Source organism: Homo sapiens, chromosome 1 (assembly GCF_000001405.40).
Source record: "Homo sapiens chromosome 1, GRCh38.p14 Primary Assembly".
Lineage (NCBI taxonomy): Eukaryota > Metazoa > Chordata > Mammalia > Primates > Hominidae > Homo > Homo sapiens.
This window is the reverse complement of record NC_000001.11, coordinates 237429338-237445306: the sequence shown is the minus strand read 5'-3', so window position 1 is coordinate 237445306 and position 15969 is coordinate 237429338. Positions and strand designations below refer to the sequence as shown.

At 34.3% G+C, this 15969-nt stretch overlaps 1 protein-coding gene across 18 annotated transcripts in view; it reads right to left on the bottom strand.

Moving 5' to 3' along the window:
* The window catches only part of RYR2 (ryanodine receptor 2), a 791805-nt gene that overhangs the window by 388682 nt on the left and 387154 nt on the right, over nucleotides 1-15969 (bottom strand). For all 18 annotated transcript variants that reach the window (XR_007062490.1, XR_002957299.2, XM_006711802.4 and 15 more), the window contains one exon: nucleotides 3824-3988. Coding sequence is in view for 16 of the 18 variants with exons in the window: in XM_006711802.4 (XP_006711865.1) it covers nucleotides 3824-3988 (165 nt within the window). In the remaining 2 variants the exon portion in view is untranslated. The remainder of the gene's footprint in view (nucleotides 1-3823; nucleotides 3989-15969) is intronic.

Sequence of the window (15969 nt, the reverse complement as noted above, 5' to 3'; positions counted from 1 at the left end):
CAGATAGAATCAAAAGGCAGGTACAGGGGACTGTGAAGCTGTTACGTTCAGATAAAATCATATGCACAGCTCCCTATACAAATTAGCCATTCCATTTATTCATTTAGTTATTACTTCATTTTTTTGAGATGGGGTCTTGCTATGTTGCCCAGGCTGGTCTTGAACTCCTGGGCTTCAGTGATCCTTCTCCCTCTGCCTCCTGAATAGCTAGAATTACAAGCCCCCATCACCTTGCCCATCTCAGTTATCATTTTAAAGAACTACTCAAAAAATGCAATGAGTCGAGTAAAACAAACAGCAGAGCCTTTTCACATATCTACATTGAACGACTGATCCTCAGCCTAAGCAAACTTGGTACAAAGCAGCAAAGCTAACGTTGCACTGGCACACCAGTCATACAGTAGTTCTGAACATAGACTGGTCAATAATAAGCACTGAACAATGCTTATAAATCATCTAAATGATAAAAATGTATACATATATTTCTTTTCTTTTGATAGTTTTTTGTTTTTGAACTTTCTATGAAACTATAATGTTAGGAAAGAGAAATGCAAAAATCTTAAGAAAACAGTTCCATGATTTTCACAAGTGAACATTCCTGCATGACCAACACCCAGCTCAAGAAAGAAAACATTACGGTATCTCAAAATCCTCCTTAGTGCTCTCTTCCTATCCCTATCCTTCACAAGGTTCACCACCTTGCAGACTTTTGACAGCACAGATCAGTTGTGTACTATATATAAGTAGAACCGTTTGTTCCCATCTGTGCTTATCTTCATTCAACATTTATAGCAAGATAATTTAATACACCTACCCAGGTGTACTGAACTAAATCTAGGAACTGGAACTATAAATTATCTAGAAAGCAATGTAAAGAGGAAACTCCTTATATAAAAAATGAGTGAGACACAGATATATCTATATTCAAAGGCAAAATATTATAGCCTTAAGTGCCCTGATTAATAAAGAAAAGAATGACTAAAATGAAAGAACTTGCGGTTTTCATGTCCTAAAAATAGAACAGCAAAGAGAGTTGAAAAGTGGAACTAATGAAGATTAAGTGAAATTACTAAACTAGAAGTCAAATAAAGTACTAGAAAAGATTTATAAACTCAAAATTTGATTCCTTGTGATGATAAATAAAACAAAGCTCTCACAAACCAGGCTAAAGATAAAACAGAAAGTAAAAACACAAAGAATGGGAAATTACAATAATACAATACTGTGTGCAACTCCATGGCAAAACCAAAAATCAACCAACCAAACAAAACTGGGTATTCCAGGGGAATAGAATAGATTTTTAGCCAAATAAGACTAATCAAAAGGAATCCAACTCTATTTGACCAGTTTCTTTAGAAAAGGATTGAAAAGATAATTTAATATACAATATTTAAAAGACCTAGGACCAGCTGGTTTCACAGGTGAGCTGTGATAAAGTTTCAAAGAACAGCTACCTTTCATGGCAGACTAGTCTAGACCAAGGATTGGCAAACTACAGCACATCACCTGTTTCCGTATAGCCCATGAGCTAAGAATGGTGTTTACATTTTTAAATGGTTGAAAAAAAGACCAGAGTAGAATGGTGTTTTGTGACACATAAAAATTAATAAACACAAAGATTGTATGAAATTCAAAATTCAATGTCCATAAAGAGAAATTAACTTCCCCCGTAAATATACATGTAATAATTCTGAATAACATATTAATTAATTAAATCTAGTAGAATTTCAAAAGAATCATACACTATGGTCAAGTAGGGTTTACTCTGTGAATTTAAGAACTCTTTAATAATTGGAGGTCTGGTAACTTAGTTATTTTATCAACAAGTTAAAAGACACAACACATGATTTTTATCTTCTTTATTAATAAAATTCAGTAATCATTGCTATTTTTAAAAAGCTAAGTAAAATTGAAATAGCAGGAGGCTACTTAAACATAAAAACAATTTCAACTGTCCTCAGGATGCAAGTTACGACTTCGATAAAATAGGAGTGGAAATTCACAATGGGAAAATATGCTGAGATAATAAACCAGCAGACCAGATGAAAGAACAGCAAGCTGAGATAAAAAGGTGAGCTGGGTGAGATAAAGACAAGAAAAAAAAAGCATGAAAACTAAAATTTTAAAGGTACAGAAAGGGCTTACGAACAGAACAGCACCAAAGAAAAAAATGAGTACTTTGGAAGACACACTTGAGAAGCGAAGTGTAGAGAAAAGGTCAGGGAGAACACTGTGAGGAAAGACAGCCATGTTCCTGAGAAAGAAACCAGCAGACTAAAATGGCACGAAAACAGGAACCAAAGACATGGTTGGAAAAGTAGATTCACATACCCAACTTGTTCCAAACATACATAAAAGTTTTCCAACAATTTAAGTGTGCGTTTTTAAAATTTAATTAAAGTTAAACAAAACTAAAAATTGTGTTCATCTAGTTCGAGTTATATACAAATACCAAATTGCCACATGTGTCTAGCAGTTACTGATTTGGACAGCACAGCCTTATACCTAGCTGCAAGTTCATGGGAATTACCAAGAGCATAGGCAATGGGGAAAAAAAGTCAGACACATCCAGAACATGAGGCATTCTATAACTGGCATGGATTTTTTAAAAACTCGATGCTACAGGAAAAAAATAAGCTGAGAATTTGTTCTACATTAAAAGAGACTGAAAGGCATAAAAATAAATAAGTGCATGAATTTTGATTGCATCCTGATTTTAATCAACTAGAAAAGATATTATTGAGATAACAGAATAAATATGAATACAAACAGGATAGTCAATGATGTAATAGAATTACCTTAATGCTATGTAACTGTACTGTGGATGTCTGACTGCATACACACACACAGAGAAAAGAAAGACAGGAGGAAAGGAAAGCAAATCTGGCTAACTATAATAATTGTTGACTCTAATTCAAGGGTATGTGGATGGTTATTGGTTTAGTCTTTTAACTTTTTTATAGTTGAAATTTTTATAAGTAAAATATTAAGAAAAAAAGAAAAAGATAACATCTGCTAAATCTAGTAGAAGAACCATGACCAAACGTCATTATCAAAAGAAAAATTTGCTTTAAAGCCAAATCAACCTCTTCTGCCACAATTTCGACAACATTAGGTGTTCACCTTGAGAATGCTAACCCAGCTCACCCTGGCTCATAATTCTGCAAAGCTAATGCAGTTGAAGACCAAGTTAGCAGGTGCATGGGCAATCTCACCAACTCAATTATAACTCCACATCCTTGAAAATACATGTTTTCATTCAAGAAACATTTATTGAGCACCTACTATGGTTTCAGCACTCTGCTAGATGCTGAATATACATAAATCAAAGACTTGGTTCCAATCTCAGAGTCTAGTAATGAAGACAGAATAAGTCACAATTACACACCTTTAACTCTTCCTTTCCTTTCTGACCCCGCCCCCTCCTTAGATTGTGTTTAGTTTAATTTCTGGCTTGTTGGCTTCTGGGGACCTCAAAAAGTGGGCCTCTTCCTGTAAGCAAGGGGATGTCAGTAACGGACTTTGTCACAGCATGGAGGACAAAGTGAACGGTACTAAACTAGAATCCAGAAGACGGCACTGTATATTTCTTCACTTCATATTTAAATGCACGCATCCCATAATCCTATATATGAGTGATGTAACATCCAACTCTGTTCACTTTACAAAGCTAAAGAGTCTATTACAGTGGAATCTGCCCTTTCACTTGCAAAATTATGAACTTTTGCAGGTGACTAAAAAGATCAGCCAATTATTTTTGACTTGTGCTTGTGTATTCATAAAAAATTACTTCTATAAATTATGTTTTTTTCTATCACCTTACCTTACGTTGTATAGATCCCATTCTCACGGATTTCACGTCCACAGACTGGTAAGTAAGCCATAGGCCTGTGTCTACATGTTGTATATAGCATACTGAGTCACCGTATTTTATTTCAGATGTTCCCATGCCATCTACTTCTTTTCTCACCCCTACATCCAATTTTTCCTAAGGGGAGAGGAGGAAAAAAAGGTCAGTAAACATTTCAAAAATACTAGTGTATGGCAATAGAATTTTGCCTTATTGCAAATATGTTCCTTGAAAAATTCAGCCCTCTGAAGTCCCCTGAAATAATGGCCAAATATTTTACTCTAACAGTTCGACCTCTAACTTATGCTTGAATTATTCACATTGGTAAAACACTATTTTTGCCATAATGTAAAATTTTTAAATTTTATGTTGCATAATGGCCAACTCCAAACCAGAGATCTTAAAATCAGTAGTTAAGCTAAACATACTTCCTGGGTTTTTGTGGATTTTTTTTTTTCATTATTAGTGATTAAGAGCATAGATTTGGGGGACAGAGAGATTTAATTTTGAGTCCAGCCTCTGCCACTCATTACCTCTAAGATGTTAGCAAGTTAATTAAACCTTTTAAGCCTCAGTTTTCTCATCCATAAATAAAGCTAATAAGGTACCTCTCCATAGGATCAAAAAAAAATTAAGATAATGCATGTAGATTTCAGAATAGTGTCCCCGGGATAAACACTTCAAAATTTTTTGACAACTTTGACAATAATAACGGTGACAACGATTGTTAATGAACCTATTAAAATGATTATTTATTTTGAACTAATCAAAGCTAAAATTCAGTTTCTACTACTGCAATTTCCAACTCAGACTACAGAGGTATTCACTCTTAAAGGACTACTATGCCAAGCTTCCTCTCCTAGGAAGTAGCAATCCATCCTCTGACACCAGCCAAATGTTTTTTTCAAATCTCTGTTTATGTCAGCACTTCCTCCTCCAACATACTCTTTCCATTTTTCCTCCCATGCATAGCTGTGATCTTCAGGAACTCACTATGTCTTAAAGTCCTGTACAGTCCCTAAAGCAGCAATGAAAAAGCCAAAGGTACCTCCTTTCTTTAGTCTCTTATTCTTTTTTCTTCCTTGGTCTAACCTTCCTTGTTAATTTACTTTACGTGTCTTCTATGTCTTTGGTCTTATGACTTTTATTTAGAATTATAGTTAAACGAATGTTTTGAAGATTCAGTCAGAGTAAAATGTATGTCTGCTAAACAAAAACGAACAATTTTAAAATAACCCCAAGGTTTAACAGATTTTTCATGTCATTTGCATAATGTATTAATAATTAATGACCTGAAAATGATTATGAACACTCCATAAACAATTGAAAATTAAAATTAAAATGAGTTGAAATTTTTAACACAAAATGTCAAGGTCAACTAAGAAAATATATAATTATCAATTAAGTTGATTCAATCATTATGCAAATAACCTGAAACACTATTCTAAGTATCTGTAATAAAACAGACAATAAAACCATTCCAATTTCATTCTATCAACCTAGATAAACTACTAATCTACTTTTACCAACCCTGTCAATAGAAAAATTAAATTCTGTGATAAAAATAGAACACTGTAATTATCTCTTCAGAATAGAACAGTGAGCCTCTAACATTTTTTTTTTTTGGTCTTTTCTTCAAGCAAATTGGTTTGTGTCTAGACTATTTATGGGTGCATGGATTATATATTAAGAAGTCACGTAAACATTAATTGTGAAATTATGCTTTCTTTGTATTTTATTGATGTATTTCACATCCGTCTCTGGATTAGAAGATTTAATTGTGAAATATCGTGATGATGATTTTTTTTTTTTTGAGATGGAGTCTTTCTCTGTCACCCAGGCTGGAATGCAGTGGCACAGTCTCAGCTCACTGTAACCTCAGCCTCCTGGTTCCAAGCAATTCTGCTGTCTCAGCCTCCCGAGTAGCTGGGACGACAGGCGCCCACCACCACACCCTGCTAATTTTTGTATTTTTAGTAGAGACAGATTGCACCATGTTGGTGAGGCTAGTCTTAAACGCCTGAACTCAGGTGATCCACCCACCTCGGCCTCCCAAAGGGCAGGGATTACAGGTGTGAGCCACCGCTCCCGGCCGATGACTGTTTTAATAATTACTATGACCCTTGAGTGAGGTAAAAAATGCTGAAGTTACATTAGAAAAAATAAGTGAGAACACTTGCTGAATGAAAGACCAAAGGCCATCCATGTTCTTTCCTTCTTTATCTCCTGTCATTTTCTGTAGCTCAGGCTTAGGAGAAATTCAGATGAAAATAATCTAGATCCTTTGAATGACCGTAAGCTGAAGTACAGCATGAACAACAAATGTGACATCTAGTAAAAGCATCCAACAGAATAGTAGCCTGTATTACTGGAAATAAAGTGCTCAGATTAGGCAAGTAATAATCTTACTAAAACTCTGTATTAGCTGTACCATATCTATATTAATGGCCTTAATTTTGGCATCAGCTTTTAAATTTTATTTTTCTTTTGAGTTGTTCTACTTTGGAAAATGATGAAGTAATTCACTGGAGTGAATTCTCCTATAGAAACTATTATAAAATTTGGAAAAAATCCTTTTAAGAATTGACTTAAAGGCACTTGGACCAAAAGCAGGAAGAAATTGAAAAGTAGATCTCTCAAAAGACAAATAGCACCTTGCGTGATTGGTAGGTGGCTGCCTTTTGCCTTGGGGCATGCAGTGCCCAATCTGTCTGCTACTCTGGCAGCAGCAATCTGCTGCTTTATGGGCTTGAGGTATCAGAGGATATGCTTCAGGGACCACAAGCAACAAAATAATTAGATGGGCTAAATCCTGGACACAAAGTTATCTACAAAATCTTTGTAAAAAAATTATCCAAATTCTGCTGACTATGTATGCTGGAGGAAAGTCCAGTATAATGGCAACAGATGGAAGCTGAAAGATTTGAGTAAAAATATAAGCAACTCCTCATGTAAAAGAGAGAAAACTGAAGTTTCAACCCAACAAGGTTAACTGCCTGCAAAACCAAAATCACTCTTCAGAAAAAAACTTGAAATTCAGAGCCTCTACTACATATCATTCCCAATATCCAATATACTGTCAAAAATAAGCAGATACAAAGAAACTAGAAATGTGAGCTATATTTTTTGGAAAAACAAAAACAACAAGAGTATAGGCAATACAAATCAATGCAAAGATGGCCCAGATCCTACAACTAGCAGACGAGGACTTTACAGCAACTATTATAAATATAAAATATGTTCAAAAATATAAAGGAAAACACATACATAATGAATAGAGCTAAATTATACATCACAAAAATAAATGAAATAGAAAAATGAAAATAATTTAAATACAAAATTAACTGGGTCAGCTTAGCATCAGATTGGAATTGTATAAAAAAGAGTTAATGAAATTAAAAGTTAATCAGTAGAAATTTTTCAATCTGTAGATCAGATTGCCATTAAAACACTCTAGCTTAAGTATTTTGCTATTAAATGGAAACCTCCTTCAAAAGACTATATAAAATTTAATTCCTATGCCTCCTACATTTAATCAAGAAAATGTCAAGATCCTCCTAATCTTAGCATTATCTTATAAGCATTATCTTATTCATTAAAACCTGTAAATTTTTAACTTTTATAGTCTTCTATCCTGCAAGAATAATCTTGAGACCTTAAGAGCTATAAAAATACTCAAAGATAAAATGACTCTTTTCAGCACAGTCTAGAATTATTGCAAGCACTGCTTTTTCAGTCTAAGAGGTGCGTATGGATATTTTCTCTTTTCATTCATGTACTCTCATAGCATGTTGTACTTTCACTATCAGGGAAATGTTGGCACTTTGTTAAAACTGTTCCTCAATTGTCTTCTTTCCACTTGACTATCATTCACCTTTTTGACAGCAGGAATCATATGTCTGATTCCTCCAGCCTGACCCCACATAACCTCAGGACCAGAACAGCCTGCAAATGTCAGATCCTTGATGAATTTCTGGAAATCCCTTCAGATTTCCCATAAAAACTGTGCTGACAAACTACTCCCATTATGAGCATTCAAATAATCCCATTCGTAAGTGCTTGGAACATCTAATTTTCAAATGAATATTAAAATAGACCCAGATGTGGCTGGGCGCGGTGGCTCACGCCTGTAATCCCAGCACTTTAGGAGGCCGAGGTGGGCGGATCATGAGGTCAGGAGATCAAGACCATCCTGGCTAACACGGTGAAACCCCATCTCTACTAAAAATAAAATAAAATAAAAAATTAGCTGAGCGTGGTGGCGGGTGCCTGTAGTCCCAGCTACTTGGGAGGCTGAGGCAGGAGAATGGCGTGAACCCAGGAGGCAGAGCTTGCAGTGAGCCGAGATTGCGCCAGTGCACTCCAGCCTGGGCAACAGAGCCAGAGTCCATCTCAAAAAAATAAAATAAAAATAAAAAATAAATAAATAAAATAGACCCAGATGTAAAAACGATTGGTCTGAAAAGTATTAAGTAATATTTGGCATTGGGTATACCAACCTGACTCATAATGAAGCCATACCTATTTCTGAAGAACTGTGGCCTTATACACATAGATATACTAAGTGATATATACATACTAGATATATAAAACTAGACTCAGTAAAAGACTAAAACTAGTCCTATAGAATTATTTCTTATAATACAGAGCATGCGGTTCAGAGGAATTCTTCTAGCATAGTTAAAATCATCCGTATGTCTATCCAAATTACTCTATCAGGTAACTAATAGATCCTCAGATGATGGAGTTTTTATTGATTTCTTAATAGCCAGGTCTCTTTAAGACAAATAATGATTAAAGTTAGAAAAAAATTAAAAAGTCAAAAGAATTTTTTTATTTGCTCCTTTATGGTGCCGCACTGCAGCCCAGAATAGTTGGTCACTGTGAAAAGAAAGTCTAAAAATGTTACGTGGTAAGAGAAACGACTGGTACTGACAGGCCAGGCCAGGCTTAGTTAGCCCTTCCAGGACAGAAATGCAAAAAAAAAAAAAAAAAAAAAAAAGGAAAATCACACATTATCCCTCGGCTTCTCAGGAGAAGTTACTCTGGTAAGTGAGTTTGTGGAAAGAAAGGATTTTTAAAGTTTCTCATGCTGAAGGGGTCTATGAGGGGCTTCCACAGCCGTAGCCACAAAGCTTAAGGTCACAGTGCCTAAATAACAGCCCTCTAACACCCCGTACAATACCCTCCCCTAGAGTGTGCGTGGGACCAATGAATAGAACAGGATATCACTCCTGCAATGAGGTTACCTTAGATGGCAAAGGTCAAGGGATCTTGTAGAGGTAATTAAGGTTCCTTATCAATTGACTATGAGTAAATCAAACGAGAGATTATCCAAGGTGGATGATACTTAACCAGGTGAGCTCTTTCAAAGGGTTCAGGCTTTCCCTGAGCACATAAACTACAGCTAGTTTCCATGGGACTCTACCCTGCTCTTGGTTCTCTCTTCCTTACCACCTGTGGCCAACAGCATCAGCCCATGCCTAAGGATTCCAGCCTGATCATAATCATCCTGGCCAGACCACTTGCACGGCAGGTGTCAGGCTTACTTACCCAGCCCTCACAATCTCATTAAGCAAACCTATATAATAAATGCCTTAATATATACATATCTCCACTGGTTCTGCATCTCTGGCTGAACCCTGATTGATTACTCTAATTCGTCACAATGTTTCCATATATGAGAATGTAGCTTTAGATATGTATTTCTGTGTCATCTATTTTTTCCTGAGACAACCACTTGTGTTTTGTAACTTAGTTTAAATAAAACTAAACTATCAAATTATGATATGTTAATCACAGAAGGCTTCAATGGGTTCATTCTCGTTCTTACAGTCGTTAAAAAAGACCAGCATACAACTATAACTGAATTTCTCTATCTTCTGTAAAACCATAATTGGCACTATTTTATCAGTGTATCAATGCCCCTTGAGAAAAGACTACTGCAAAAATTTCTTTTGAATTTAATCCCAAGTAAATGCAAAATTCATCTCCATGGGTAACTTTGTATAACTGTTTTGATAAGAAAAAAAATTACAAGTTCTTTATAAAATCTTTAGTTTTCTTACTAAAGAGGGTTTTAGTCTTACTATGTAGTTAAGTTTGGTTCTGCCACATAACTTGTCTAAGCCTCAGTTTCCTCAACTGCATAATAAAGATAAAAAAACAGCATCTTAACTCCATACAGTTGTGTTAGGATTAAATAAGATAATGCATGAAAGGTGCTCAGCACATTGTTTGACACATAGTAAGTTATTCACCTCTACCTTTATTTTCACTGTGTGAAAGTGTACATTTTAAAACATCTGAAACATATTCTGAATGAAAAATAAAAAATCCAGATAAAAATAATATAGTAAAAATGTCTTTAAAATGTTTTAGTCTGGCATCGTAGCACATGCCTGGGTAACCCCAGCATTTTGGGAGGCCGAGGCAGGCAGATCACTTGAGCTCAGGAGTTCAAGACCAGCCTGGGCAACATGGCGAAACCCCGTCTCTACTAAAACTACAAAAATTTGCTGGGTGTGATGGTGCATGCCTATAGTCCCAGCTACTTGGGAGGCTGAGGTGGGAGAATTGCTTGAACCTGGGAGGTGGAGGTTGCAGTGAGCCAAGATCTTGCCACTGCACTCCAGTCTGAGTGACAGAGCGAGAGACTCTGTCTCAAAAAAAAAGTTTTATATTTTACATTTGTTCCACAATTCTTGTAATCTCATTGACAGTCTTATTTGAAACTGTTATTCCATCATTTCCATAGCAAAAGACTTCTATTCATTGTACACAGGGAGGAAAAACCAGAGGAAATCGCCTACAGAGAAATGTTTCAGTGGCATTTTAAGCTAAAAAATTTTATCTGGAGGGTTGGGGATTGGATACACATATGATTGGCAAGACCTGCCTTATGATTAAAACAAACATTTCAACACACTTGAAAACAATGGTTACAACTTCTAGGAATAGAGAAAGTGAAGAATATTTCTAAGAAAATCTACATTTATCAAATAGCATTCTTCGTTATGTAAGATATTTTCCTTAAAAGAAAACCAAAGTAGGTTACATTATAAATGATTTCCTATTTTATTCAGTTTTTTTCTGAATATATAGGGTTGCCAGCAATTGTTGATTCTTCCCTCAAATCCTGTATTTGAGACTGGCTGGTGAATGTTCACATTACTGTCAAAGACACCCCAATGACAATTGAGGAAATGCTCCTTATGTCAACTAGCAACATGGAATTTTAAAGCCAGTCTCACCTTTAAAATCTAAAGTTAAAATGATCTTAATGATTTATAAAATCTTCCAAATGTACTTATACTTTCAATACCGTCTCACACAGTTAGGGGTAAGGGACTGCTCAGGTAAATGCAAGGGTTCACAAGAATTGATTTTCTTTTCAGAATTTCAAAACCAAAACTCCTAAACCCAGATGAAAGCTGAGATTTGCAACTGACCTAGAAAAGTTTGATTTTCCATCAGTAATAAATCTTGATTTGCAACACAGTAATTATGTCAACCAGCAGTCAGTTCACTATTGCATACTCAAAGTATACCTCAGGTCTAAGATATATGTTACATCATTTTTTTTAAGTGTTTGCCTTTCATAATGTAAGTACTCTTCATGGGAAATATGGTAGAAGATACATGTCTAAGATCTAAGGTCTAAGATATATGTTACGTCATTTTTTAAAAAGTGTTTGCCTTCCACAGTATAACTCTTCTTCATGGGAAATGTGGCAGAAGTATGTAAAGAGAGGGCAAGAATTTTCAACCTACCAGTAACACTGAGGTGGGGAAAAAGTATCAAATATACCTTTAAGTGAATCCAATATGTATTTTAAAGAACAGAGACCATGATCAAATGTGATGACTAACAAAGGGATTAAGTGAATCTGTTGAGCTATTCTATTTTCTCTGAAATGTTGACAATGTGAAACAATATCTTAAAAATATATATATTTTCATCTTTAATCAAGGTCTCTTTTTATTGTGTTTCAATAATTATAAGTTCAATGCTGCTTTATTATATAATTGCAGAAAATACTTTTCAGCATGAATGGATTTTTATGTCATTGGGCTTCCAATCAAAACAAGATTCTATTATAAATATAATCAGCACTATCAATTACTCTAATTTTTCACGTCTGTATATGTGAGTGTAGTTTTAGATATGTGTTTCTGTGCCATTTATTTTTTCCTGAGATACCTATTTGTGCTTTGTAACTTATTTTAAATGAAACTAAACTATCAAATTATGTTAGTTCCACAGCCCTTTTTTCTGTACCTTGTAGCTGGATTTTAACTACTTTTCTAGTATCAGAAATGCCTTCTATTTTAAAACCAATTTTCTACCAATCAAAATTGGGTAAAATATTACACAAGAATCACACACTAATTTGTTCTTTTCTTTAAGATACCCCCCCCCACACACAGTCACCTAAACATTTTAATTAGCAGATAGTTTTAATTAAATTTATTTAAATTATAGCTCTCCTCTTATAAAGTTATTGGTATCTACAAACTTCTGAAAATCAGGGATCTAAGAATTAGAAAATTTAAAATACAGTGGTAAAAAAAAAAAAACAACAAAAAGAGTATTGTGCATTCTAAAGGAAGTAAGTTATCCAGAAGCATTAATTTGCTTTAAGAAAATGATGCTGATGATAATGATAGTGATGACAGAAAAACAGATGTAAGAAAAAGACACCACTGCTCTACTTTTAACCAACGAAATAGGAATTTGAATCACCAGCTCCAGACTATAGTCTTGGATGTCAGGCATTGTTGTAAACAAAAGTCATTTTTTAAATTCCAAATTTGTAATATCCAGAGACAGCCCTAATTGGAAAGACACTAACCATGATTACAGAAAGCTCAAGTTAGGACATGAGCAGAATTTCGAAGAATTTGGAAGTGGGCATAAAAAATGTCCATCCCTTCCCTTCCCAGAGAAGACTGAGTCAGGAGAATCAAATCCCCCTATACCACTTCGACTCACCAGATAATAAGAATTTTCTTTCCATTCCCAACTGAATATATTTATGCCCAGTCTTAGAGTAGCTTTGCTAGTACATTCAGAAGTTCCCAATTGAAAACATATTGTTGTTATTGATTCTGTTTCTGTCCCTACAAGTTATGATTCGGAGCTCATTTGAAATATTAGGAGATGCATATATATTTAAGATATATTAAATGCCTTGAATAATCTGAAGTACACTCGAGATTAAACTGTAAAAGGCATTTTTTTTTAAAAAAAGCCTAAAGTCATTGCTCTGGGATACATGGAATGAAGGGAAGGAAAATTCAAATTCATCTGCTTGTAAAAGCCACATGCGTTCCAAGAAATGAATAAAAAAAAAAGACCATTTGCTAAAAATTGCTTACTGTGGCATTTGTTTCATTCATGGGAATACTAAATCATTATAATTTGCTTCTAAAATGATAGGAGCTTTACAGTTAAAGAGGTTAACTTACTCACAGAATATAAAATAAGATATAACTGATTTTTCATCTATCAAAATTATCAGATTTTAAAATCATCTGTTGATGAGTCGCACAGAAATGTAAAGTTTCATACCCTGCTGCTTAGAATAAATACTGGTGCAAAGTTCTGAAGAGTACTTTGGCCAGGTGCATTCACTCACTAGGGACATTTAGCAATCCCCACTAAGTGTCAGGCACTGCACTATCCATGGTGAACAAAACAGATACTGTTCTGCCCTCTGAGAGCCTCCAGTACCAAACACTTGAAATCTTCACATTTTTAGACCAAATAGTACAACTTCCAAAAAAGAAGTAGTCAGCAATATATAGAAATATTCAGAGATAAAAATATTCAGCTTAAAAGTGAAAAATTGAAAATAAGCTAAATATTCAAATATAATAAAGTAGCTGCATGAATTATGATAAATCTATGTAATAAGATGTTGAATTATTGCCAAATTCTATTAAAGAATATAGTAGTATATGTTATTAAATAAAAATTAGGCCCAAAATCATATATAATTAACACTGTTCATCATCAAAATATGTAATATTTGCTTACAACTCAAATACACACAAGAGGTTGTTTCTGAGTGATGGATTTACTTTTCTCCTTTCTCCATCTTTGTACTACCTTTACATTTTTCTGTAATGACTATGCATTAAATATATAATAGAAGAAGTCATTTTAAAAGAAATAATTGGAAGAGTTAGTGTCTCTAGTTCATGGGAAAAAATTTATTATCTAATCTTCCAGTGATACTAAAATTAAAAATATACTGTGATTAAAAAATATTTCTCTTGAAATCTCACCTTCACTTTCACTGCCTTCAACCACTTCATCATATGAAATTACCTGTATGAATGAAGTGGCTGGAAGCATGGAAGCGTTATTAACCTGTACACTCGAGTGGTTCCATGAACACCAGGCAGGAAAGTAGCTTCAGAGAAACTAAATTGCTCAGTTAAAGAAGAGTTGAGTTGGGCTCTTCGGCCTCTCTACCTCCATGCAACCTGTGACATTACACAATTGCCAAATTCCAGAAACAGAATCCCTGAGCAGAAATCACAGAAGGATCTGGAGAGTCAAAAGTCCTCAAATATGAGCCCTATTCTAACATGGAGAGAATATTAGGAGGGATATTCAGAGAAAAAGGTTTCAAAAGCTATTGCTTTGGGCAATCTCTATCAAGAACATTCAAAAATATTCACAGCTTTTAAGTCACTATTTCCATTTGTAGGAATCCATCCTAAATAAACAAATCAAAAATGTGCACAGAACTTATGTCCCAGAATGTCAGTGCAATGGTTTTTATCTTTAACTGATTTCATTGTAAAATAAATATGACTATTGTAATAGCCAAAATAATCCAGAGATACATTTTTTAAGTTAAAGAAAAAATTTCTCTCTGTCTTCATATTCTCATACAGCTTCCATTTTGATCTTTCTAAAATACTGTGAGTTAAATGATTAGTGTATATCCTTCCACAACTACCATAAAATCATATACAAACACAAGTATGAAGATTTCTTTTTAATTACAAAAATATTTGTAATACCTTTAATATTACAACAATAGATTACATTAAAATCTATCATAAGATTTGCAATACCTATATTACAATTTACAACTCAAAATGTTGAGTAAAACAATATTTTACTGAACAATATTTTCATGGATATTTTTCCAGATCAATATATTGTTATACATATCTCCAGATCAATATATATTATGTATATAACATATTCAACATATATTGTTATGCATATAACATATGTTATGGATATAACATATAAAACATATGACTATATATGTTATATGTTATATAGATGTCATATATGTTATATATATGAATGTTATATATGTTATATACCTAACAATATATATTGATCTGGAAATATATATAACAATATATTGATATATATTGATCTGGAAAGATAGCCATGAAAAATACTTCCAATAAAATGTTGTTTTATTCAACAATATTTACAAGAATATCTTTCCAGATTAATATATTTTGACAGCTAATACCATTTAATATTATAGATATAGAATAATCTTTATTGCAAATGTGTGACTTTTCCATTTTTTTGGCATGACAAAGAAAGATGAAATTAACTTGCACGTATATTTTTACCTACAAGTTTTCACTTTATTTTTCTAAGACAGTACCCTCCCACCCCCAACCACAACTTAAAAATACATAGATCAACAGATGAAAGGCTATATAAGTAAGAATATTTTTGAAGTATGTTAATATACTTTTCCCTTTTTGCATTTCCATTTCCATGTGAATCACCTGCTTTGTCACAGGCATTCATCAACCTCCAGGAGGATTAGGATTACTAGAGAAAGAATCAAATGAGAAAGATGGACTCTATTCAGCTTTCTGCAGGAAAGGGAGGATTTTGAGAGATCACAGTTAGACACAGGGTCAGGCAGCAGTCTGTGGAGGGGTGGGGTGACACTTTAGCTGGGTGAGGCCCTGACAGGACAAGCATCTGCCTCAGGCTCCCATGGCAGTCCTTACAGCCTGGGGTGAACTGAATGAGTGAACCAGCCAGCCTGGAAAGCTACAGCCCAGTTATATGTAACCACCCCACCCTGGCCAGTTGTTTTGGTGCAGAGATAACCCTG